Here is a 27019-nt window from a genome sequence, read left to right on the forward strand (position 1 = left end):
AAACACTGTTGATGAGATAAATGAATAAATGAGAAAGATAAGCCAACACAATTTAAGAATACAGTAGTCTGATTTTATATTAATACATTTTACCCTTAGGAAGTAAAGAAGTCATAGAGTATGAATTTAGATTTTTTGTATTATATCACAAAGACTTCTAAATTTTATATTTAAAAAGTTAGCGTATGAATTAGATTTTAAATGGAACAAAAGGTATTTAAGCGGCTGACAGTAATTCACATGATTCTACACACTATTACAAAGAAACTAAGTAACACAAAACTAAATATTATGTATTGGTTTTAATCAATTCCTAGCTTTCATGCTTAAACAAATCTATGTCAAAAGTAACTATGCATATTTTTTCACCATAAGTTTCACCAATTAGATTAGAGAAGATCAGAATTAAAATAAATGTGGACCCTAAATGCTGTTTTTGAAAAATTCATATAGGTTAATGTCTACTTAGTGCTAATCAGTAAAAGGAAAATGAAAAGCAACACTGCTTCTAATTGTGGGGGAAACACCCTGCTATTTCCCCAATTCCAGTGCTTTGTACAATGACTGCAAAACACAAAAGCCTACAATGACATAATTCCTTCCCATCAATTTGAAGGGTTAAGTCCCATATATTTTTCTAACTGAAACCTCAATATGCCATAATCTGTATAAAGCACACCCAGGCAAAGTGACATCCTCAGTTCAAAAAATAGATCTATATTTCCTACATTAGACATAGTCATTAGATTATAATCAAAACTATGACCAAGCTGGGAATGGTATTCCAAGATCTTTGAGAATCCTTACCTAATCCTATTCGGTTTGGACTTGTTTCCCGGCTACATCCCTGGCTCCTGGGAATCTTGCTTCGCTTTTCTGAAGACGGTGTCACAGGTGGGCCTCGTGAGGAGCCCCCAGTAAGTCCACCATAACCACTTCCCAACAATTTTCCTGGGGAACTTGACCGGCTGCCAGCTAAAAGTGAAGCAAAATGACAATGAATAATAGATGTAAATGTAGGAATGAACTATAATACTTTCAAAAGCCAGATTTTACACATTAATTTGGCTAAAATACACAATTTTATATAAAAATAAATTTTTATTTGGTGGTAGTAATTTTTTTAAATGTAGGAGCATAAAAGACAATTGAATATCATAAAAGAATATACTTAGAAGAATTACTGGTGGAATAGCCTCCTTATTCCACAGTAAATAACTACAAATGTCACAAAGGTGTTTATTCTTATTTTGTTTTTTTAATTCTGTAAGAGCTGATTATGTTAAAAATTTTAGGTGTCACTGCTAGAAGAGCAGAAGTAGAACTATAACAATTTTCTTAGCATTAGCTACAGAAAATGAATCCAAGAAAACTCTATTAATCTGACAAATGATATAAAAGGGAGTAGGGGGATAAAATAACCAGAAACCTGGTAAATAAAAATCACAAAATAAGATAGAAGCTCAAACATATTAGTTAATCATAATAAATGTGGCTGGATTAAATTCATCGATTTAAAAGAGATTAAAACAAGCCTGGGCTGGTAGCTCATGTCTGTAGTCCCAGCACTTTGGGAGGCCAAGGTGGGAGGAGTTTGAGCCCAGGAGTTTGAGACTAGTGTGGGCAACAACAGGGAGACCCCACTTCTCCAAAAATTGTAAAAATTTGTCAGGCATGGTGGTACATGCCTCTAGTCCCAGCTACCCGGGAGACTGAGGTGGGAGGATCACTTGAGCCCAGGAGGTCAAGGCTGAAGTGAGCCATGATCACACCACTGCACTTCAGACCTGGCAACAGAGCAAGACCCTGTCTCTTAAAAAAGAACAAAAAAGAAAAGAAAAGAAAATGCAAAGTAAAATAAAATGAAATTCAGCTGTCTGGTATTTTTAAAAGTCAAACAATACACCACAAACAAAAACAAATAGAATAAAACACAGCATTTAAAAAAGACAAAGAAGGATATTTAATATTTATGAAAGAATAATTGTCCATGAAGATCTAATAATCACAAACCTTTATGCTCCAAACAACATAGTTTTGAAATATAAAACTAAAAAATGATAAAAGTACAGGAAGAAATGGAAAAAGCCATACTTACCGAAAGACCTCACGGAAAGACTAATAATATTGAGAAACTATATACCTCACAGAAATTGACAGAGCAGTCAAAATTGTGTCTGTGTGTGTATATGTATGTATAAAAACACACACTTCCCACATACACATATATATCCCAACAGATAGAACACATATTCTTTTTACCTTTCCACACATGAATATTAAAAATAAAAATTGTGTATTAAGCCTCAAAGTAAATCTCAAAAAAAAATCTACAACAGTAGAAATAACATGGACCACATTCTCTGAGAAGTATGCAATAAAACTGGAAATTAAAAACAAATAATATGGCTGATAATTTTTATTAATAGGTAAGTAGCTAGATACATATATTACTATTTCTTGTGGGACCTAATTCTCTCTCAGAGGAAACAACAAAATTTTAAGCATCACACCAATACACTCAAATGGCAATCATTTGCATTGACAGATTACCTCCCTAAGTAGAGAAGGCAATACATTCTAAAATATAAAGTATACATTTACTATGTACTAGAATAGAATGACCCAGAGGAAGAAAGCATTTGAAGCAACACTTACCTGTAAATTTATATGTGTGTTTATTTTAAATATATATTATTTAAAAATACATATTATATAAATCAAAACCACCATCATTCAAATGAACCACGTAGGTGAATACTCACAAAAATTAATAGTTTATAATGATTTAACTAAAAATTGAAGTGAAAAATCATTATAAAAACCAATGAAGAATTTGTCTCAGGACCTATTAATTTTACCCATAAAATTTGAGCTATATAAACTATTAAACTATGTATAAAGGGGAAAGAAATCCATTTCAAACTCTAGAATTTGAACACAAAGAAAAACGCAGAAAGATTAACTAAGCTTACAATAAAGAGAGAAATTAATATTGTGCAAGGAACATGGGGTCGGGGAGAATGCCAACAACAACAACAACAAAAAAAGGCAAGAAGAGAAATGGCTTACCACCAGCAGGATTAGCAGATCTGGATCCTTGATTATGAGAGCAGACCAAAGGACAGGCAAAAAGTGGATTAAAAGACAATAACACAATACAGAAGGTCAGCATGCAACACAACACAAAGGTCTTTGTTCACAAATACATTAGCAAAACAGCTATATTTCCTAGGACTTGTTCCTCCTATTTTTGTACTTATGTTTATCTTTGTCATTCTACATTAGCATTTATTTCAGATCTGTTCATAAAACACTTTCAAACCTACAATGTGCCAGGCTCACATCTGCTTTCTAGCTTTAAGCAACCTGAGGGAAGTGATTGTAACTTACTCATCTCTGTATCACTACCATCTTCAAAAGTGCTTACCACATAGTAAGTGCTCAATAAACATCAACTAACTGAAAGAAACTGCTGTTAACTAGTTTCACCTGTCCTGACTTCCCATAAACCTCAAATATTTAAAATATGCCAATTATTAAGGGCCCTAAATCTAATATTAATGAAGCCTACTTAGTATTAAATCAGGACTATGAATACTAGTATATCTACATTTGTGATATATACACTTAGATTTACCACTTATTAAAATAATTTTTTAAATATTTAATTTATATGCATAAGCTTAAGGTATAGGCTTGATCACTGGCTAGTGTGGTCACTCTTCCTGAGTACGATTTGGTGAGTGAAGTAAAACTAAGGAATTTTAAAAGGGGAGCCCCAAGGCTAGGTACAGTATTTTTATAAGACTGAAAAATTAAAGCTCTATTATCACCCTAATCACTATTAGAGAAAGAACTGTAATCTTCACCACCTGCCAAGGTAACCTACACATTCCTAAAACCTGCAATATAGGAGAGAAAATTACAGCATTGACCTAGCTGGGGCAGGGAACCCCAAAGACCCCAGTGTTGATAAACAGCATTAGAAAGAAATATGTAAAATACTGTTCAACCCTCAACCCCCACAGAGGGAAGCAACACTGCAAAATTACATGCTTAGGCATTTTTTATTTGGCTTAATTTCATTATATTGACCTAGATTCTGAGATTTGAACACTTTTTGTCAAGAATTCCTTTGCAGTAAAATTTGACCCATATGTATGAGTCAAATATCCTTTTGTGTCTCCAGGCATCACTAGGGTTCAACAGAATAACCAGAGCCAAGAAGTTGTTCCCACGACAGACACTTCTGGGCTACACCTGCACCCTGGATCTGAATGAAAATCCAGTTTAAGTTCTACACTAAGGAGGGCATTCTTGGTCTTAACGGACTCAATCTATCCTGAACTGCATCCCTCATCATGTAAATCCATTCCTAGCCTTCTTTCCTAAACCTACTGAAGTAGACAGGGATCAAGGAGGCTCAACTTCAGCTAGGATGGAAGTCTGCTGATCTGAAACAACTATGACTATAAAGCTTGCGTCCATTTAACTATTACATGTTAGGCTCCTAATGCTCATTAAATCCTCATTAAAACCCCATGAGGGTGGGAACTGTTATCACTCAATTTACAGACAACGAAACAATGGCTCACAAAGGTTAAAAGACTCACCCAACATCACACTGGAGCCAGGATGCAAACCCAGTTTTGTCTGACACTGAAACCCATGCTTGTAGTGTATCACACTACACAATACAACCTAGGCCACAGGAAGGTTCTGTAGCCTCACCAAAGGCAGCACTATAACTGATCTTCTGCTTTCTTTGCAGAAATTATATAACATGAGGACTGCAGTTATCAAAGGGAAAAGAATTTAAATTCAGAAGGTGTTGAACAAGGCCATTTTCTATACTAAGGGAGCTCTTAAGGTTTGGTGCAGACTGATCACTCTCTACAACAGACAGACAGTTCCTTGGGCCACAAAGGAGGCAGGCAAATGTCAGCTAGTGAGTGCTGTGCTGTGGGACCGCATGCAGCTCCTGGGGACAGGAAGACTCTTCCTTCCCACGCTCACCTTGCCCAGGAGCACTCTGCTACCCAGCTCTACTCGACATGCATAGAGAGGAGGCGGGCCCCTTAAAAGAGGAGGTGGGCCCCTTAAAGTTTATGTGTGGCTGGAAAGTGAGACACCAAGTGAGGATCTGAAGTGTGACCAGAATAAATTCATTCCAGCTGTGGCTGCTTTCATGGCTAAGGCTAACAAACCAACTGACTTCACATATACAGAGACGCAATCATGGAAGCAGCTAGGCAAAGCAAGAGCCCACATGGCAGGAAGAGAGGTGCGGGCTGCAAATGTTAGAGCACAGAATTAAAGGGGGAGAGCTTTTAATGGATTTACTTATTTACCACTGGAAAGAACATAGCATTAATAGTTTTCTGCCCACGTACTGTTCTAAAATTACATCAGAAGGATTCCTTATCAATGCAAAAATGAGTCACAGAACAGATAAGCTACAATTTGACAGGCTTCAAAGGAGGGCGAAAAACTACATTTTAATGTTTAATGCTTAACAATACAAAATGTAAATCACCTGGACAGGAGACAAATGTATGCCTGAAATGTTTCATTTTTTAAGCTTACCCAACAAACAGTAAGATTACTCACAGTATCTCAGAGCCACAAAAAATGTGTTTTTCCCTCTGAAGTCAATATAGAGATTGTAAAATGTTCAACTGCAGAATGAGCTGTTGAATAAAACTGAGGTAAGCAAGAGCATAAAATATGTTTCTTACGCTGGGACTGTGAAACCACTTTAGCGCGACTGCGGCCCCGGTTATCAGGTGTAGAGGCGACGTTGGTGGCACTCCCAGAGCTTTGCCGTCTTGTGCGGATCCGACCTGGAGGACACAGCAAAAACAGTGTTTCACAACATTTCCAGTAAGTGCCACCTCCTCAAGAAAAGAAGCCATGCCCCAAAAGAGGGGCACTGACCAGCCAACTACATGGGGAGCAACAGCTTCTGTGAGCAGATCCTCCACACGAGGTCTGCCACGTCTCCCTGTGTGTGCATGCGCACATGCGCATATGATCCACGCACAACTGTTCTACGAACACAGGATGAACTCCTGAGATGGAGCCATGGACCTGCAGCTGTTTAGGTTCCAGCTATTTTAGTATGTTATCTCTTCAGACAAGGAAGTGATATCCATTTGAGGACATTTCCCATAATTTTTTCCAGATTAAATTTTCTTTTTTATTGTCTACAAATCTGACAAATTTCCAAAAACAGAAAATATTTACTGTCACTGTAAAAAACAAACTATAGAAAATAAGAGTAATACCAAAAAAAAACCCAAAATAAAAAAGTCTACCTTCTTAACTCAGCCATCACAGAAGCTATAGCTCCCCAGTGAATAAATGTGTTTTTGATATGCAGCATTAAACTTCTATTTTTAAAGCATGTAAGTCAGTAAGTTTCTAAGATAAAGAAAAGATAAAGCTAAAAAGAGAGATACAGCTAAAAAGAATCAGTATTAGGAGTACCTAGAGAAATGATGGCCCAAAGATAATCCAATGCTGTAGGCAGTTATGAAAAAATTACAGCAATTATTGAACCACGAAGCCATAAAAATAAAAATGAATTCAGAAACACAAAATCATTAGTGACCAGACTAGTATGATTAGCGATTAAACTTTAAAAAAAAAAAAAAATAGGCCTTTTTGGTTTCGAGGGAGCACAAAATGCCTCTCCGGCCGTAACTCAATGAGGATAGGAAAAACACAACCAACTTGAACTCCCACTGGCTTTTATGTTGTTCAAAATCACTTCTACCCCCACAAGCGACAAAGCTTACAGAGAAGTAATGCAGGAAGCAAATCCTAAAGCTTGAAAAAGTTTCAAGAAAGGAAGGTAAAGAGCAATGAAAGAAAGCTGGCATTAAAAAAATAATAAAACTAGTTAAGAATCAATGACTTTTCAGTTTAAGGAAAAACTTATAAATAAACTCTATAATCTATACAGAAGTGAAAAGCTATACCATTTACTAACAACTATATATGAGTCCATTCAGAATCCTCACAGCATATAAAGTAATCACTCCCATTTTACAGATGAGAAAACCGAGAAACAGGGAAATTAATTAATTTGTTCAATGTGACACTACTGGTCTAGATACCTGTGCCTGGCTGACTGGGAAGCCTATGAGTGATGACCTCTGATTTTCCTAAGGAAGTCACTGAGCTAAATCAAGGCAAATCACAAAGGCAAAGTGAACATGAAAAAAACAACTGAATTTAAATTCTTAAACTCATTATAAAATATTTAGGTCACAAAAAGATTTTTTAAATGAACATGTATACTCATTTAGCTTAAAAAATAAAAACTCTCTTTGCTAAACCTCTCGTATTCTACTTTCCCCCAACATTTGGTAACATGATCCTAAACCCAGTGTTCAGCATTCCCTTGGTTTTTTTTTTTTTTTGTAAATACATGTTTTCACAACCAATAACTCTGTGGTTTTGTTTTACATATTTAGAACGTTTTTAAATTATAACACAAGGTCTATATTTTTCTAAAGCTTACTATTTTGCTAATATTTTATGTGAAAAGTCACTTATGTATCGATAAAGAACGGATATACTTTATTTTTTCCATATAACTAACCAATGTTGAAATAAATTTACTTAACGCTTTTCTTACTGATTAAAATGCCTGATTGTTTATCAAGCAGCACTTATGTGTGTCTGGGTTTCTCAGCCTTCTAGTCTGTCCCACTAGTCAATGTGTCCATACCTACACGACATCACAATACTGTGATTAGCTTTTTATTAATTTATTAATTAATTAATATATGAGGCAGAGTCTCTTTCTGTCGCCCATGCTGGAGTGCAGTGGTGTGTGACCTCGGCTTACTGCAACCTCCACCTCCTGGGATCAAGCGATTCTCTTGCCTCAGCCTCCCCAGTAGCTGGGATTACAGGAACATGCCACCACACACCTGGCTAATTTTTGTATTTTTAGTAGAGTCAGGATCTGACCATGTTGGCCAGGCTGGTCTCCAACTCCTGACCTCAAGTGATCCACCCGCCCTGGCCTCCTAAAGTTCTGGGATTACGGGCAGGAGCCACTGTCCCCGGCCTGTGATTAGCCTTTTTTAAAAGACATCCTGCTAATTGGCAGGACAAGTAAATTCGCCTTTTCCTAAGCCCTTTGCTGTCTTCCATATGTATGTGCAGACACAATAACAACGCCTGTTGAAATGTTGACTGGCATTATGTGAAACTCTGGGTTAAGGGGAAAAGCTTTATAATATTGGTCTTCTCATTCATTGTATCTTCTATGTTTATTTAACTTTGTCAATATCTTTTGATAAAGTCTGATCATTTTTTCAAAGTTCTTACTCAATTTTTATAGACTTATTTAAAGTTGCTTTATTTTTATAATTTATTAAATTATATTTTCTGTTCTTGGCAGGTAAGAATGGAATCATTATATTTTGATCTTAACACTCTAGGATTCTGCTAAACTTGTATACAGATTTGGGGTTATCTAAATAGAATAACACCCACAAATAACTCATCAGCTTATTACCCTCAAATAATTCACTTTTACTTCTTTGCCTTTATTGTGGTGTCTTGGTCATGTAATATAATGCAAAATAGAAGCAGTGAGGGTAAGCACTGTTGACTCAAACAAGATTTTTAAAAAGAATTTCTGAAATTTCACAGAAAGTGTATCTGCCAACAGGTTAAGAAAATTTGGCCCAGAGCGGTGGCTCATGCCTGTAATCCCAGCACTTTAGGAGGCCAAGGTGAGCGGATCACCTGAGGTCAGGAGCTCGAGACTAGCCTGGCCAACGTGGAGAAACCCCATTTCTACTAAAAATGCAAAAATTAGCTGGGCATGGTGGCGCATGTCTGTAATCCCAGCTACTTGGAAGGCTGAGGCAGGAGAATCTCTCGAAACCGGGGCGGAGGTTGCAGTGAGCCAAGATCGTGCCACTGTACTCCAGCCTGGGCAAAAGAGCAAAACCCTGTCTAAAAAAGAAAAAAAAAAAAAAAGAAAATTCATTTCTGTGCCTAGTTGCCAACAATTTTTATCATAAATGTTTGAATTTTTTGATGTTTTGATCTTTTTAGATAAGAGGGTTTTTCTCCCGAATTTAAACTACATTAATAAATTTTAAAGTAATAGGTGAGGCACGGCGGCTCACGCCTGTAACCCCAGCACTTTGGGAGGCTGAGGTGGGAGGATCTCTTGAGGACAAGAGTTTGACACCAGCTTGGCTAACACGGCAAAACCCCATCTCTAATAAAAATACAAAAAATTAGTTGGGCATGGTTGTGCAGGCCTGTAATGCCAGCTACTTTGAAGGCTGAGGCACGAGAATTGCTTGAACCTGGGAGGCAAAGGTTGCAGTGAGCTGAGATCGTGCCACTGCACTCCAGCCTAGGCGACAAAGTGAGACTCTGTCTCAAAAAGAAAAGAAGAAAAATTAAACCTGGGCTAAACCTACGTGGTCATGACATACACACTCACATACACAATGTTTGTAGGTACTCTGGTCATACTAGCTGCATAAAACCAGTGAGGGAAGTATTCCCTCTTTTCCTATTCTCTGAGTTTACGTAAGACTGGAATTACCTAATGTTTTTATTATTATTTTTTTTTGCATCTCCACTGATAAACTGACAATGCAATTATCCAGTCTTTGATACAACTTGTGTGCGAAACCATCTGAGCATGGCAGGAATTTTTGGAGTATCTTTTCCATTTTTATTAAGTTTATTTTGGCAGGGTGGGAATAGAACAATGAACTTTTAACTACTGATTCAAATTGTTTAATGAGCAGTCTTAAAACTACTCACATTGCTTGTTTCTTTGAAGAAACAGTTTTGGGTTTTCTTGAAACTTGTACAACTTGTTTTTGAATTGTTAACAAAGCTGTCATAGGTTTATCTTACCTTAATTTCAAAAAAGTATTATTTTTTCTTTGATACAGAGTCTAGCTCTGCTGCCTAGGCTGGAGTGGAATGGTGCGATCACAGCTCACTGATGCCTCACTTCCCAGGTTCAAGCTATCCTCCCACCTTAGCCTTCTAGTAGCTGGGAGCAGCTGGGACTACAGGTGTATGTCACCACGCCATATTAATTTTTAAATTTTCTGTAGAGATGGGGGTCTCACTATGTTGCCCAGGCTGGTCTCAAACTCCTGGCCTCAAGCAATCCTCTCACCTTGGCCTCCCAAAGTGCTCAGATTATAGGTGTGAGCCATTGTACCTGGCTTCCTATTACCTTTAAAACTCTACTGATCCACATTTATGCCTAATTTATTATTCTTAACAGTTAATTTGTACCTTTTCTGTATTTCAATTGACATTTTTCAAAAGTTTGCCTACTTGATTAGTATTTTCAAAAACTGAAATTTTGCTGGGTGCAGTGGCTCACACCTGTAAGCCCAGCACTTTGGGAGGCTGAGGCAGGTGGATTACTTGAGGCTAGGAGTTAGAGACCAGCCTGGGCAACATGGAGAGACTGTCTCAACTAAAAATGCAAAAATTACCTGGGCGTGGTGGTGCACGCCTGCAATCCTCTTTTACTGGCATGAGCCACCATGCCCAACTTTAGTGTCTTTCATCAATTACAAATTTTTTTTTTGCCTTTGTTACTAAATACTCTTCAACAGCTTTCTTCTACTGATCCTTTGTCTTCTATCTGTAGTCTTAAGTTTTAGATTTCTCTCTTTAAATATCACATTGGGCTGGGCGTGGTGGCTCTCCCCTGTAACCTCAGCACTTTGGGAGGCCTAGGCAGAAGGACAGCTTGAGGCTAAGAGTTTGAGACCTGCCTGGGAAACATAGCAAGACCCTGTCTCCATTTAAAAATAATAAAAAATAAATATTATATTGCTAGAGCTTTAAAATAAATCAAGTATGACAATCTTTCTCATTTAACCACAAAGCTTGGTTTATTTGACTTTATTTTTACTTCTTTTTCTTTTTTTCTTTTTTTGAGGCAGAGTTTCGTTCTCGTTGCCCAGGCTGGAGTTCAATGGCGCAATCTGGGCTCACTGCAACCTCTGTGTCCCGGGTTCAAGTGATTCTCCTGCCTCAGCCTCCCGAGTAGCTGGGAATACAGGCATGTGCCACCACGACCGGCTAATTTTGTATTTTTAGTAGAGACGGGGTTTCTCCATGTTGGTCAGGCTGGTCTTGACCTCCCAACCTCAGGTGATCTGCCCGCCTCAGCCTCCCAAAGTGTTGGGATTACAGGCGTGAGCCACCATGCCCGCCCTATTTTTACCTTTTTATATGCATGCTTTTGTCTTGATTTTTCATTTTCCTTTTATCCTCTCCTTTGTTTCCTTCTTTTGGATTAATTTTTTAAAGATGCTTTACTATCTTTAAATAATATTATGAAAAACGCAGCCATTAAATCACACTTTAGAGGAGATACAGTAATTTTAAGGGCTCCCTCCTTTTAAAATTAAACCTCTTTGAGATAATTATAGATTCCTATGCAGTTTTAAGTTTTAAGATTCCTGTGTGTTCTTTATGCAGTTTCTCTCAATGGTAACATCTTACAAAGCTATAGTATAAAATCAGAAACAGGACATGAACACTGATATGCTCCACCCTTCCTATTCAGACTATTCAGATTTCCCTGTTTTCTTTGCAGTTAATCTTTGGCTTTCCTTTGTAGGTAGTTTCTTTTTCTAGTGGCTTCTGTGCCTTTCGTGTTGTGCAATTTTACTTTTTTTTTTTTTTCTTGAGACAGAACTTTACTCTGTCACCCAGGTTGGAGTACAGTGGTGTGATCTCAGCTTACTGCAATCTCTGCCTCCCAGGTTTAAGTGATTCTCGTGCCTCAGTTTCCCTAGTAGCTGGGATTACAGACATGTACCACCACGCCTGGCTAGTTTTTGTATTTTTAGTGGAGACAGGGTTTTGCCATGTTGGCCAGGCTGTTCTCAAACTCCTGTCCTCAAGCGATCAGCCCACCTCAGCCTCCCAAAGCATTGGGATTAAGGCGTGAGCCACCGTACCTGGCCTTACTATGATATGTTTAACTGCAGATTTTTTATTTTTGTCTTACTTGGAATTTATTGGGTTTCTTCAATCTGTGCTTTAGTGTCTTTTTTTTTTTTTTGAGACAGAGTCTCACTCTGTTGCCCAGGCTGGAGTGCAGTGGTGTGATCTCGGTTCACTGCAATTTCCACCTCCCAGGTTCAAGCATTTCTCACACCTCAGCCTCCCAAGCAGCTGGGACTACAGGTGCGAGCCACCACGCCCAGCTAATTTTGGTATTATAAGCAGAGACGGGGTTTCACCATGTTGGCCAGGCTGGTCTCAAACTCCTGGCCTTCAGTGATCCACCCACCTCAGCCTCCCAAAGTGCTGGGATTATAGGCATGAGCCACTGTGCCCGGCTTTAGTGTCTTTCATCAATTATGAAGAATTCCCAACCATCATCTCTTCAAATATTGTCTCTGCCCCATTCTCCCTCTTCTTCTTAAACTCCCATTAGACATGTTAAATTTCTTTACTATCTTGCATGTAACTTAACAACTCTGTCATATTTTCTAACTCTGTACTACAGTCTGGATAAGTTCTTCCTAGCTTTCTTAATTCATGAGTTCTCTCTTCAGTTACATTGATTCTACTGCTCAATTTACCCATGCAGTTTATTTTTATTTTTTTCAGACAGGGTCTTGCTCTGTTGTCCTGACTGGAGTACAGCGGTTATGATCACAGCTCACTGCAGCCTCAACCTTCTGTGCTCAAGCGATCCCCCTGCCCCAGCCTCACAAGTATCTGGGGCTACAGGTGTGCACCACCATGCTTGGCTAACTGTAAAAAAAAAATTTTTGGTAGAGATGGGGTCTCACTATATTGCCCAGGCTTAACTCCTGGGCTCAAGCAATCCTCCTGCCTCGGCCTCCAAAATTCCTAAGATTACAGGTGTGAGCCACTGTGCCTGACCACTTTTTGATTTTAATAATGTACTACATTTTCATTTCTAGAAGTTCCATTTGCTCTTCTTCAAAATCTGCTTGGTCATTCTTGATAGCCTCTTACTCCCTTTCTACAATTTCACTTTATTTCTTTAACTGTTAAGACAATGAAACGATCACTTTTCTTGGAAATTTATGGGAATTCTTTAAGATCTAGATTAAAGCTGAATTATTCCAAAGAAGATCTCTGATTTTGTTTGTGTGCTGTGGACACAAGTAATCCACAGCCAACTTAAAATGATTTATCTATTTGGGTTTTTCAGACTACAAAGGTAACGTAAACTCTGACCAGAATCCTGCATCAAGATTTTGGTTGCACATTCTCGAGGGAGATTACTTTCCCCCTCTAACCAGCACCAGAGTTAAGATGGGCAAATTTCTCTGTTCTTTTCAGTTTAGTAAAGTTAACTTTTTGTTCACTAATGATGATGCAGGTCTTAAATAGGCTTGGGCTTTCTGTCCTTTATGTCCTGCACAATCATCACATCAAATGCCCAAGGACCCCAGGGTTTAGCCAAAAGCCTCAGGGTGACGGCCAGCATTGACCCTGACATACCAGGGCTCCTGCCATGCTTAGGTTTGAAGCTGTGTGGATTCACTGCTTTTACTCTAGAATAGTAATGTATTCTCAACTGGGAGGATTATTCTGGCTACTAAGTTGTATATATCCTTAAAAAATGCGAGTTTATTTCTTTTAAACACTTTAGTTATTTTACATTTTGTAACAGATCCTTAAGTCCTTAAGGGTACATTCTGTTTTTATTCTTTTTCTCTGCTGCCTCTCACTCATAATGGATATAACACAGAGTATGAACTCTTATTTCACTGATTTCCATCTGCATGAACCCCGAGGAATTAGATTTGAGAGTAGCTTCCTCTACAGAAGTTTAATGTTTGTTCCTGGCAGGCACCCTTGGGGGCTATAAACACAAACTACTTTAATTCATTAGCTTGGAGTCTTCCAAACACCACAGGTGAAGTAAATTTAAAACCACAACTTGTGTGAGTAGACAGCTTAGTTACAAATTATGAGAAAAGATTAGGGGTTTTTTTTCCCCCTCTGTTTAAGGCAAAGTCAAGACAGACATTATATCAACTTGAAGATAAAGAGGATTTTTTGTGTTGTTTTGTTTTTCTCACCTGTCCACCTTGTCATGGATATACAGCCCCCTTGTCAATGCTGGCTTAATGCCAACTCTCAATCTTCACCTTGGGTCAGCTCAAGGTCTTGTGATCTGTGTGTCTAGCTATTCACATCAATAACTAAGCCCTTTTCTGCATCTATTGAGATAATCATGTGGTTTTTGTCTTTGGCTCTGTTTATATGCTGGATTACATTTATTGATTTGCGTATATTGAACCAGCCTTGCATCCCAGGGATGAAGCCCACTTGATCATGGTGGATAAGCTTTTCGATGTGCTGCTGGATTCGTTTTGCCAGTATTTTATTGAGGATTTTTGCATCAATGTTCATCAAGGATATTGGTCTAAAATTCTCTTTTTTGGTTGTGTCTCTGCCTGGCTTTGGTATCAGAATGATGCTGGCCTCATAAAATGAGTTAGGGAGGATTCCCTCTTTTTCTATTGATTGGAATAGTTTCAGACGGAATGGTACCAGTTCCTCCTTGTACCTCTGGTAGAATTCGGCTGTGAATCCATCTGGTCCTGGACTCTTTTTGGTTGGTAAGCTATTGATTATTGCCACAATTTCAGCTCCTGTTATTGGTCTATTCAGAGATTCAACTTCTTCCTGGTTTAGTCTTGGGAGAGTGTATGTGTCCAGGAATTTATCCATTTCTTCTAGATTTTCTAGTTTATTTGCGTAGAGGTGTTTGTAGTATTCTCTGATGGTAGTTTGTATTTCTGTGGGATCAGTGGTGATATCCCCTTTATCATTTTTTATTGCGTCTATTTGATTCTTCTTTTTTTCTTTATTAGTCTTGTTAGCAGTCTATCAATTTTGTTGATCCTTTCAAAAAACCAGCTCCTGGATTCATTAATTTTTTGAAGGGTTTTTTTGTGTGTCTATTTCCTTCAGTTCTGCTCTGATTTTAGTTATTTCTTGCCTTCTGCTAGCTTTTGAATGTGTTTGCTCTTGCTTTTCTAGTTCTTTTAATTGTGATGTTAGGGTGTCAATTTTGGATCTTTCCTTTCTCTTGTGGGCATTTAGTGCTATAAATTTCCCTCTACACACTGCTTTGAATGCGTCCCAGAGATTCTGGTATGTTGTGTCTTTGTTCTCGTTGGTTTCAAAGAACATCTTTATTTCTGCCTTCATTTCGTTATGTACCCAGTAGTCATTCAGGAGCAGGTTGTTCAGTTTCCATATAGTTGAGCGGTTTTGAGTTTATTGCGGCATTATTCACAATAGCAAAGACTTGGAACCAACCCAAATGTCCAACAATGATAGACTGGATTAAGAAAATGTGGCACATATATACCATGGAATACTATGCAGCCATAAAAAATGATGAGTTCATGTCCTTTGTAGGGACATGGATGAAATTGGAAATCATCATTCTCAGTAAACTATCGCAAGAACAAAAAGCCAAACACTGCATATTCTCACTCCTAGGTGGGAACTGAACAATGAGATCACATGGACACAGGGAGGGGAATATCACACTCTGGGACTGTCGTGGGGTGGGGGGAGGGGGGAGGGATAGCATTGGGAGATATACCTAATGCTAGATGACGAGTTAGTGGGTGCAGCGCACCAGCATGGCACACGTATACATATGTAACTAACCTGCACAATGTGCACATGTACCCTAAAACTTAAAGTATAATTAAAAAAAAAACTAAAAAAAAAAAAAAAAACTAAGCCCTCGGGGACAGCCTTAAAAATCAGTTCAAGCTTGTCATTCCAGTCTGTGATCCTCTTGGTTTTGAACATTTCCTTACTTTTTTGGGAACACAGCTATACAGCTTAAAGGGCCTCTGTTGTGTTAAACTCAGATATATATTTATTTTATAGGAAAAGGTGTCTTTTGTTTCATTTTGTTTTGTTTTCAGTCTATTGATTTGGCAATATTACTATGAGTACCTGTGCATGTTTTTAAAAGATGATATAAAATGCTCTGTGGTAATTAGGGGAAAAAAGTTTCAATAAATGCAACAAGCAGGCTGGGCACAGTGGCTCACGCCTGTAATCCCAGCACTTTGGGAGGCCAAGGCACGAGGGTCACTTGAGTCCAGGAGTTCGAGACCATCCTGGGCAACATGGCGAAACCCCATCTCCACAAAAAATTAGCAGGGCATGGTGTTGCACACCTGTAGTCCCAGTTACTTGGAAGGCTGAGGTGGGAGGATACTTGAGCCTGGCAAGTCAAGGCGGCAGTGAGCCATGATCATGCCATTGTACTCTAACCTAAGTGACAGAGTAAGACCCCACCTCAAAATACAATAAATAAAAATAAAGCAACAAGCAGTACAAATATACTTCAGTTCTGTATTATAATCTATTAAGTGACAGAGACAAGTAGATAGATGTGAAGGGAGAAAAAAAAGTCAGCACAAGTAACAGAAAAAAAAAAAAAGAGGTAAAGAACTGTACAACAAAAATAATTTTGGAGGGAAGGATGAATAAGATAAGCATCAACAAACAAACCTAACCAGAGCAAAACCAGACCCAGAGGAAAACAAAGACTTGTAAGAGGAGCCCAAAGCCTTTGACTTTCATGGAATAAAGAAAGATCATTCATCTCATGACTTTTTAATACTGCTCCTAAGGATTCTTTTTCACTCACATTGCCATACCTTCTAGAAAAGACTCCAAACCAGGAGAAATTCACCCTGCGTACCAAGTGTAGTTTGTAGGCCTGGTTTTCCTATCTTCTTGTTAGGCAAATGAAAAACCACTAGAGAGCCTTATGTCACTAGGGTTTTTCTGTTCCCTACGTGTTTCAAATTTTCTAGCAAATTCCCAAATTACAGATTATAAAATTAAAAGGTCTTCAAAGTAAGTCTCTGTTCTCATCACACTGGGACGTTTTGGCATACATATCTGCTGTACGTTTCACTGCTTGGGGGCATAATTAAACCCAGCCTTTACTCATACACTGACATCTTTTACAGAACCAAAACAGAGGAACTTGATCATTTCTACATTTTGCTACCTACAACTATTCTCCCCAAAAGAATAATTTCCTGCCAGGCATGGTGGCTTACGCCTGTAATCCCAGCACTTTGGGAGGCTGAGGCAGGAGGATGACTTGAGCCCAGGAGTTTAAGACCAGACTAGGCAACATAGGGAGACCCCATCTCTACAAAAAAATTGAAAAATTAGCCAGGCAGGCGTGGTGGTGCACGCCTGTAGTCCCAGCTACTCTGACAGACAGGGTGGGGAGCTGAGGCAGGAGGATCACTTGAGCCTGGCAGGTCAAGGGTGCAGTGAGCTGTAATAGCACCACTGCACTCCAGAGCCTGGGTAACAAATGAGACCCTGCCTTTAAAAAAAAAAAAATTTCCTTCATATTTTAAAAATTTAAAAGAAGCTTAACACCCTTTTACTTCTATATATAGACATGCATACTTTTTCCACTGTGTAAAAAGGACAATTACCTAAAATTCACAGTTCTTGGATAATTTTTTACATTTTATTTCCCAGTAAAATTGTACTAAAATCTAAGTTCTTTTTCCTGAAGAGAAGACAAGGCTATATAATTTTTATCGTGTAATCTTAATTAAAATCACTGAAAGTTAAGTTGATATGGCTTTTGACTACATCTTAATAAACATGATTATTCCCCAAACAAACAATGGTTGTCAGCCCCACAGGCCATTCAAAGCACTGTAACTTTTCATTTAAAGTTACTTATTTTGGGAAAAATATGAATGCTTTTCCTAAGCATACTAGCTTTTTTAAAAAAGTATGAGAATGCATTCATTTACCATATGACATCTAATCATAAACTTCCTCATGTGCAACATAAAAGACATTATGTTTCCCTCATCAAAATCTCCAAAAATTACTGAACATAACATACTGAAGATAATAACCTAGAAATAAACTTTCATCCAAAAGTTTAGTTTTTCGTTCTTTACAAAAAGTATTTTTCTAATTAGTCATAAATGTTAGGATTCCTTGATGTGGACAATGAATAACTCCTAAGGAATATATATTTTTCTCAATTACTATAGTAATAAAATTGCCAGTAAACTCAAACGTACTGCCTAAATTTCTTTCTTTTTTTTTTTTTGAGACGGAGTCTCGCTCTGTTGCCCAGGCTGGAGTGCAATGAAGGCATAATCTCCGCTCACTACAACCTCCGCCTCCTGGGTTCAAGCAATTCTCCTGTTTCAGCCTTTTGAGTAGCTGGGACTAGAGGCACACACCACCACATCTGGCTAATTTTTGTATTCTTAATAGAGACGGGGTTTCACCACGTTGGTCAGGCTGGTCTCGAACTCCTGACCTCAGGTGATTCACCTGCTTGGCCTCCCAAACTGCTGGGATTACAGGGGTGAGCCACTGCACTCACCCTCTAAATTTTTAATTTAGAGCATATAACTGTTTTAAAATCATCTTGTCTCAGAAGCTAGATTATAAAATATTTAAGAGACTTATTAATAAATTTTTAAAAGGCCCATAATGGTTCCAAAAATGCAGGTGGAAAACTCGTATTGAAAAGGCACCAAGTGACATCTCCTGCAGACTTTACCTAGAAAACCACTGTGGCTTTTCTAAACAGAACAGGCTCTCTCAGTCTCACTGCTGAAACCAACAGAACAATGGCAACCCAGAAGAGTTCAAACTCACAGGTCTTTCCAGGCTTTGACTAGCCAGTGTTGCCACAGCCTGTGCAGCCCCAGTACACAAACACTGACACTCCCTATGCTTCTTCAGCAACGGTCTCTATTGTCGGAGTCTGAGCTCTCTATAAAAAACAATTTCTCCCAGAAGAAGGAAAAACCAGAGAGTTAGTCTCCTGGACAATAACTGAGAGGGCAATTCTGACCTTACTCAGGACTGTGGAACTGGTGGAAAAAAAAAAAAAAAGTTAAAAAGTCCTAGGGCTGGATGGAATAAAAGGCTGATTTCAATTCTGTTATATAGGCATAGAAATCAGGGCATTCTGGAAAAACATATAATTTCCCATGTAATGTCTTTGCTTTCCATTTCATCTACATTATTCTCTTCCACTCTCCTCCTCCCCTCCCAGTAAGGCTGAGAAAACACTCGGGATTGTTTCTTTGGGCAGGAGAAACATAAAATTACCCATATCAGCTTAAGAAATGAAGAAAATTATCAACCAGCTTCCCAATCACACCAGCCTCTGCCGTCTGCTGTCAGACATGACGTCCTCATCAGGACAGAGGTTTCTTGTCCTTATTTTAATTCTGGAATTTTTTTTTACAAACTTGTCCGACCCTAAGAACCACCAGTGAGGCTTATTAGAAATTCAGATTCTCTAGTTCCTTCCAAACTTAATCAGCATCTTCAGGGTGAAGGACCTAAGAGTATTTTTTTAGTAAGTATCCAAGTAATTCTCACGATGTGATAAATTTAAGAAACACTGCTCTTGGGATCATGTTCACCTTCAAAAAAAAAATCCATTCCTATCTTTCTTTTATGAGTCCCTTGGAAAGTAACATACGGATTAAAAGAACTGAGCTGCACACATCAAGCTAAACCCAGCTAACTTTGCATGCTAGCCCTTTAGGGTGACTAAATAATATATGAAAATGAACTAGCTGTTCCTAATTGTTAAGTAAATATCCTGAAGGTTGGTGGGTTTAAGCCTCTATTTAGGCAGAGAAGGTTCCTCTAAATTTCAATTACTTAAAGCATTTTCATGCATTCTATCTAGCAAAGGAATGATATTGCCTTATATGCACTTATCAAAAACCTGCAAAGACTAAAACAACTATGTCTAAAATTCAAAAGGTAATACAAAAATAGAAAGAGCTTCTTGAGAATGGCATAAAAAACAAAATAAAGTGGATCTGGATATGCCTATTTCTTACAGCATTACTATATCCTCGGTGTGTAGTACAGAACATGGCACATGGAAGGCATTTAATACACGGTTGATGAGGGGATGAATGAGAGTAAATGAATGAATGGGGTGTGTGTCCGTGAGACAAATAAAAAATAGCATCATATAAGTCAGTAGTACCTTTAGAGGAGAGAAAAATATATTTTTTTATTTCTTTAAATTACCTGTTAGGAAATGTTTACCAGCCTTTAGTCTGAATAATTGACATTGAAATTTACTTTCAAAACAGAAAGGCAAATCCTGAGAGGCCCACAAAAGCACAAAAGGAAAGAAAAGGAAACAAAAGCTAAGGTAGTGCTTCAGGAGTAATAAAACCCAAGACAGGCAGTCCATGAGGACAGTAGCACACAGTGTGACATCAATGCTCCTCCCCAGAGTGTGGACTCAGCAATAAAAACCACACGCAGCATACTTTAGTGCTAAAATTCACAAGAACAAAGACTGAACAAGAAAGGGAAGGAGAACTCAGGTAGAGGTAGGGCAAAAACCCAATGGCGACAGAATGAAAAGAGAGGAGGAGAAACAGCGTGCAACATCTCATGCAGGGACCTTGGTGAGGACAAGTGGGTACTGGGCAACACTCGGTGAGAACAGAGGACCAGAGAAAGTGAGACACACCTCAATCACAGAAACAAACCGCTTACCCTCCGCTTTAGTGGTAGTACCATCTTTAAGCAAATTAAAAAACAAGGGAAGGGATAACAGGGAACAGTTAGTAACATTCAAAAAATTAAAAAGCCGAATGTTATTAGCTACTAAAAAAGCAAAAGTACAATTTAAAACAAAATTAAAAGGGAAACAAGTTCAACAGCAAAGCAGAGTCTGAAGCAAGTAAGTGTGCCTTGTATTGAAATTAGCTTAACATAGCATAATGGTTTTTTTGCCTTTGGAAAATAAAACACAGACGGGCAACCCAGGGTAGTGCCACAGTTGAAAGAAAGATTATTTTTTGTTTTAGCCAACTCTCATCCTCTTAAGAGTTCCTTTTTCTTGGAAGAAAGTACCAGCAGAACAGGGCAGAGAGGAGGAACTAGAAGCTAAAATACTAAAGAGTTACCCAAAAGGCAGAGCCAAGTAAGAAGCTCAGAGAAGCTTGCTCTAGCAATGCCTATCCCAACTACACGTCCAGCAGCAAAAGCTGTCGAGCATGGTACCTGAGTCCAGGCCTATGTACTCCATGTCTTCCCTCATGTGTCTGGACTCTAGAAGTTTGGAAAAGGATCATCAGCTTTAATGCTACACTTTTGCAAAGATGTCATGTGTCAACCTAGGTAGCAACTGTAACAAATTCTCACTAGGATTGTGCTATATTTCAATTTTTTGGTGTTTTTGTTTGGGGACAAAATAAGGGAAGTTGAGGTAGAATTCTCAGGAAACAGAGAATTTGAATACTCCAGTCTCGTTCTTTGAAGAGGTTAATACTGGACTGAAAACTTATCATCAGTGCTTCTGAAGGGTCAGCTCCATATTATCATACCAAAAGACGTGAGGGCTTTTACTAGCACTGGGGGAAGTCTATACCAGCCATATTCAAACACTCCATAATACAGACAGAAAAACAAAAATACTGAGGCTGATTTTTACTCACTTTTTCCAACAATGAAACAAATACTAATTACAAATACTAAAGGTGGATCTAATATACTAAAGCATAGGTAAGTACTGAAAAACTAAACTAAAATTAACAGAACTAATTCAGCATAGGAGGAAGAGTTGTTACTTCTCCTTTGCTCAATGGTTACATATGGACAACACTCCTACATAATGCTGCAATAGTTAAAAACGATTTTAAAAAGAGAGTTCTTAATGAATTTCTTCTCAATTGTTATGGGTGTATGAGGTATTTCCATAAAAACAAGACTGACTGAGCAAATGTTCCAGAACACATATCTTTCAAATTAATAATGTTCCTATCACAATCACACTTTCTTCCACCTTACAGAACAATAGTTTATAAAGAACCTTTATATAATTTCATTTTGCCTCATATATGAGTTAGGTGGCTATTATTACAAGTAATTTGCAGGTATGGAAAATAGACCTACAGATTCCACGGCCTACTCCAGGTCACAGAGCGAATAAATGGCAGACCCTAAAATCTTCTCTGGGTGCTATTTGTTCACTGTGCTTCCAATGTTCAAAACATTTTCAGAACATTAGTTTTAGAACTGACTCTGGAATTTGTCTGAAAGTTACATGAGTAACTCCACCTCAATATTTCAGGAAGTTTAAATTTTATTCATTTCCTTAAAATCTAAAGTAGAACCAATCCAGCTAAGTCCCTAGATTTTGGCTTTGAATGAATTGGCTCTTACAAAAACAAAACGAAATAAACAATTAGCCTGACACACAGTACGTGTTAAGCAACTGCTGAAAAATATGAATAGTCGATCTATCACTATGTCAGATGCTAAAAGTTTTGGAAGTAGTTTTTAAAAAACTTTTTTGGGCAATCATCAGAGTAAGGGCATGCTCCTCCCAAGGTGATACATGGAAGGACAACACTCTTTTGCACAGACATGGTTATGCTGATTCATGAGCTCATCACATTCCTTCAGATTCCTCCTGCCATTCCCCACAACCCAACCCGATTATCCCTGCCAGCTCTGGTTATATTCTCAAATTGAGAAACACCTAATGACACTGACTACCTTTGGTGAATCCCTCACTGAACCTGCTGGCTCTGCTCCCACCAGTGTCAGAGGGGGAAAAAACTTAGCTTTGACAATATGGGAGGTGGCTGGGCTTGCCATGGAGGAAGAGGAAGAGTTGAGGAAAGGACGTGCTCAGTGCCACACACCCTCCGAGCATGAGTGTACTGTGTACTTACTCAGCACTAAAACGGATGATGCATCGAAGAAAGGGACACTCAACAAGGGTGGCTGGCTGATCAGCAGCAAGTGCACGAAGCTACTTAGATTTAAATAGTAGCCCCACAACAGTGAGACTTGCCTCAATCATGGGTTTGTATTTTGCTAAGAGGTTAAGAGTCATCTCTTGCAGAGCAGTGCAGGAGGGAAAGGGTGACAGGGGTGTGGTTACCTAAGGATGCGTATGACCCTGGAGGCAAAGCTGCTGCAGAGCTGAAAGGCGTCGTGCCCGAAGATGAGGAGACTTTGGATTTGGCACTGGCTGCTGCGTTCACATCAATATCACTTCGAGATCGCTGGAGGGACCCAGTCGTTGACACAGATTTGGTACTAACTGTAGAAGCTTTAGTGATAAAGGAGGAAATATGAATAAGGACTACATAGAATTTTGAAAATACATTGCTAAAATCTGATGTTGTTTTGCTTTCCTGAAAACAAATACCAAGTTTTAACAAATGCTGGAGCATAAAAAACTGACAAACAGTTTCTCCTGGTCCCTGAAGAGAGTTCAGGCAATGCCGAAGGAAACTACAAGTGATCTCAATTGTAATGTATCAATTACATTTGTTTTCTTGTTATTGAAGACTATAAACCCCAAAGAAATGGACCATGTTTCTGCTTACTACGAAGAAGTGAAATAAGGAAAAAATGCTCACATCTAGGGCGTCTCCTCATGAAATGACATAACTGTGCCACGCCCTCTTACCTAGAGCCCTCCTCTTTCTGGAACATGCCACTCTCCCACCACTAACCACCATCACACTGCTGCAGCTGCTGCTCAAAACGCCACCAAGATGTCTTCACTGTCTCATCAAAGGATCAGAGACAGGAGGTACAGTTTGTGGCAATGTCAACATGCAGGGGAGGTGGAGAGAAAAGGTCACAGAGCTTCATTCCTAAGTCACCCCGTCAATGTTGTCCTCAGCAGCGAGTGGCCCTGACAAAGCGGAGCTCTGCTGGAGAGTCAGGGCAGGGCAGAGCAGGCAACATTCAAGCCTAAGAAGGAACTGAGGGCAGGCCGTTGGCCTCCTGTGCCTGGGCAGCCTCTTGCAGCTGCACGTACAGCCCACCAGAGCGGAGAACAGGCCTTCTCCACGGCTGTCAGTCTCACCTCTAGATGTGGTACTTCCAGTAGGACTTCTTTTGGCAGACAGCGGACGACTAAAAGTAAAGATGTATATTATTTATTACATGTACTGTACCTGAATTAATACAAATACAAACTACAACAGGAAATTATTACAATGAAGAATTATTTCAGAGTTTTCAGAATTTTTTGGGCAATGTGAACCACAATGTTGTAAACTCCCTGATTCCCAACGAAGCTTTAGCAATCTATTTTGGACTGCCTTTCAAATACAGAGAGTGAAATAGTAACTACAGACAGAAATTAGAAACACAGAGCAGAGATGATAATATATTAAGTCACAGAGTTTGAATGACCTCCATTTCCAAACTTGTCTCCAGGTTCACACTTACATCCTCTGAGAAGACTCTGAAGCACTGGTGTGTATAGTTCACACTACTCCATAATTCACTTATGTTATTCTAAAACTGTATTCTAGGACTGCCGTATACATTTAACTGAAAAACAGTACGGTAGAGACCAAAGCAACCTATTTCTCACCACTCCATGGTGGTATCTTACTTTGCACCAGGATCTACCTCAAGTAAGGGGGCGTTTTAACAAGCACCCATGTAAAAACATAGCTAGAATTTGTGTTTTCATGTGACAAACTTTTAAATACAAATTCTCACATGAATGATAAGCAAAGATGAATCTCTTACTTTAGACTCTCTTGAGAGCTGGAAGATGAGCGGTCTGACTGAGGCAGAGACACTATGCTGTCTGAGTTCTTCAGGTGGGACTGCAGGGCTTTCTGGTAGGAGGACTCCAAGGTGTGGTACAAGTGCTCTGCTTCTCTGCTGAAGTGACTGTGGAAACCCCAGTAACATCTAGAGGAAACACACAAAATCCTGGTCTAATTCAAGGATCCAAACAGGTCTTTTGCTGAACTCTGGAGTACACCACAGAAGATTTTCAAGGACTGGAAGCCTCAGTTTAGCCGCTAATAGTAGCAGGAGGAGAGGGTAAACAAAGGAGACCTGGTACGAATCCTGGCCTCACAATTTTACTGTCTTTTAGACTATGGGCAAGTCACTTATCCTCTCTCAACCTCAGCCTCATTTATAACATGGGAATTAAAAAGCCTAACTTGCAAAACTGGGGAATCTTAGGGAAGGTGGAGCTAAACATCTAAGACCATACCTAGAACACAGGATAGGCTCATTAAAATGGCAGCTATTATACATGCAATTTTACATCTCTTGACACAAAGTATTTAAAATTGCCTTAGGTAACATGTGCAAAAGAAAAATTTTAAAATGTTCAGAGCTACTTGAAATCAGTATCACATTATAATTAAAGACCAAGAAAAAATGGGCCGGGGGTGGGGAGGGTCCAATACAAGGATAAAAACAGCATAAACAGATTATTAACAAATCCATTCCTAATAGTTTTTAGCAACGATTAATTATATCACTTATTTTGGTAGAAACTAGCAAAGAAAAAATTGGCACAAACACTTCATAGTTATAATAAGCTCAGAAACAAGTGAAATATAATTTAACTGTGAAGGCAGTCAAAGAGCAATAAGTACTAGATCAGGATGTATTAATGCAGCTAAGTAAAACCGTAACGTTGCAGGCTAGTACAATTAGATTTTAGCACATATCAATTAGGAGAGTTGGTCAACTATGAGAGTAAATTCAAAAAAAATCACAGATGCAACACTGGCAGTAGTTATCAATGCACTGCCCAAGAGAGAATGTCTTAATATCAAAATTCTGGTATTTACAGTCACACTGGCAAAAATTATTTCCAAGGCTGGACACAGTGGCTCACACCTGTAATTCCAGCACTTTGGGAGGCCGAGGCGGGTGGATCACGAGGTCAGGAGATCGAGACTATCCTGGCTAACACGGTGAAACCATGTGTCTACTAAAAATACAAAACATTAGCCAGGCGTGAGGGCAGGCGCCTGTAGTCCCAGCTACTTGGGAGGCTGAGGTAGGAGAATGACGAGAACCTGGGAGGTGGAGCTTGCAGTGAGCCGAGATTGCACCACTGCACTCCAGCCTGGGCAACAAAATGAGACTCTATCTCAAAAAAAAAAAAAAATTTCCAAGGAGGTAACGAATACAGAGGCCATGGCCACATAATTGGAGGAAACTCAGTCCTAATGGCAAAAGTACCTCACTTGTTGAGACAGAAACAACAAGTTATCACTGTGATAATCCCAGGCATTAGTCGATCCAACTCCCCTTAATATGATTCACACCAAGGAACCACAGATGCTTGCAAAGAAGTGACTGCAGGGAGAGAATTCCCTGTGACCAAGATTTTTCATGGTAAATCATTAAAGCAGCTTTGGATTACAATATGGCTTAATGAGTAAAAGAATACATTGAGCATGTATACAACTGCCTTCCAGAGCTATGTGATAATTTGTGACGAATGTAAAAAACGAGCATTCTTTTGTCTCCCTCAGTCCTGTTTATTTACAAGCTTGAGTGATGTTATTAAAAAAAGAGAGAAATATTCCAAAATGGCCTTTTGGGGGTCATGTTTAAAAGTCATGGTTAACAAATATGTTCAAGTAACTTAAGTTTTTAATAAGGCAATCCTATAATTCATGTGAAATATAGAAGAAGTTAATTTAAAAAGTGGTGTACAATAAAAACTTACTTTCTGGCTTCTATTCTTGCTTCGGAATCAGCATCATGTATTCCCTTCTTTATTGTTTCAGCTAATACTGATATGTGTCTAGATATTTAGAAAAGAAAGCAGTAACAATCATAAATGTATGGTTTGATGCAAGTGAAACCAGGTGGGAGAAATAACTTCCAAATGGCAACATGGAGCTGGGAGCCTCTGTGCCAAGGCTGGTCAGTTCCCACGTGGCTGGGCAAAGCACGGCACTCCTACCTACAGTCCTTTAACTCCCAATCCTGCCCCAACACCCTAGCGCCACTCCAACCTACCCACGCCTAAGGACTTTGATAACCCTATTCTCTTGTGGGATTTTTTTTAAAAAACACAAGCTGATTTTTTAAAAATGTGCACTTATAGCTCAATCTTTTACGAACCCAAACAACAAAAGCTTGTGTTTTTCACATCAGAACT

The 27019-nt window shown here is 38.8% G+C and overlaps 1 protein-coding gene across 37 annotated transcripts in view, besides 2 other annotated features; it reads right to left on the reverse strand.

The window, feature by feature from the left end:
• Window positions 1-27019, reverse strand: part of CLASP1 (cytoplasmic linker associated protein 1) — a 311687-nt gene that overhangs the window by 86556 nt on the left and 198112 nt on the right. For 9 of the 37 annotated variants that reach the window (XM_047443792.1, XM_047443782.1, XM_006712383.2 and 6 more), the window contains exons 16-21: window positions 26582-26659; window positions 24622-24789; window positions 23945-23994; window positions 23006-23176; window positions 5742-5846; window positions 808-975 (exon numbers count right to left, since the gene is read on the reverse strand). In XM_047443792.1, coding sequence (XP_047299748.1) covers window positions 808-975; window positions 5742-5846; window positions 23006-23176; window positions 23945-23994; window positions 24622-24789; window positions 26582-26659 — 740 coding nt within the window. Of the gene's footprint in view, window positions 1-807; window positions 976-3072; window positions 3100-5741; window positions 5847-20607; window positions 20632-21117; window positions 21166-23005; window positions 23177-23944; window positions 23995-24621; window positions 24790-26581; window positions 26660-27019 lie in introns of all 37 variants that reach the window. The other 28 variants (XM_047443789.1, XM_011510849.2, NM_001142274.2 and 25 more) reach the window with 6 other exon arrangements.
• Window positions 5152-6351: an enhancer, noted in NCBI's record as "CDK7 strongly-dependent group 2 enhancer chr2:122187059-122188258 (GRCh37/hg19 assembly coordinates)". NCBI's record gives its function as "activates an origin of replication core promoter dependent on BRD2, BRD4, P300/CBP, MED14 and CDK7 cofactors, with strong dependence on CDK7, by STARR-seq in HCT116 cells {active_cell/tissue: HCT116}" and the evidence as "EXISTENCE:reporter gene assay evidence [ECO:0000049][PMID:35650434]".
• Window positions 23742-23965: a silencer, noted in NCBI's record as "fragment chr2:122205649-122205872 (GRCh37/hg19 assembly coordinates)". NCBI's record gives its function as "represses an EF-1alpha promoter that drives an FKBP-Casp9 reporter gene in an ReSE screen in K562 erythroleukemia cells {active_cell/tissue: K562}" and the evidence as "EXISTENCE:reporter gene assay evidence [ECO:0000049][PMID:32094911]".

Source organism: Homo sapiens, chromosome 2 (genome assembly GCF_000001405.40).
Source record: "Homo sapiens chromosome 2, GRCh38.p14 Primary Assembly".
NCBI classification, from domain to species: Eukaryota; Metazoa; Chordata; class Mammalia; order Primates; family Hominidae; genus Homo; species Homo sapiens.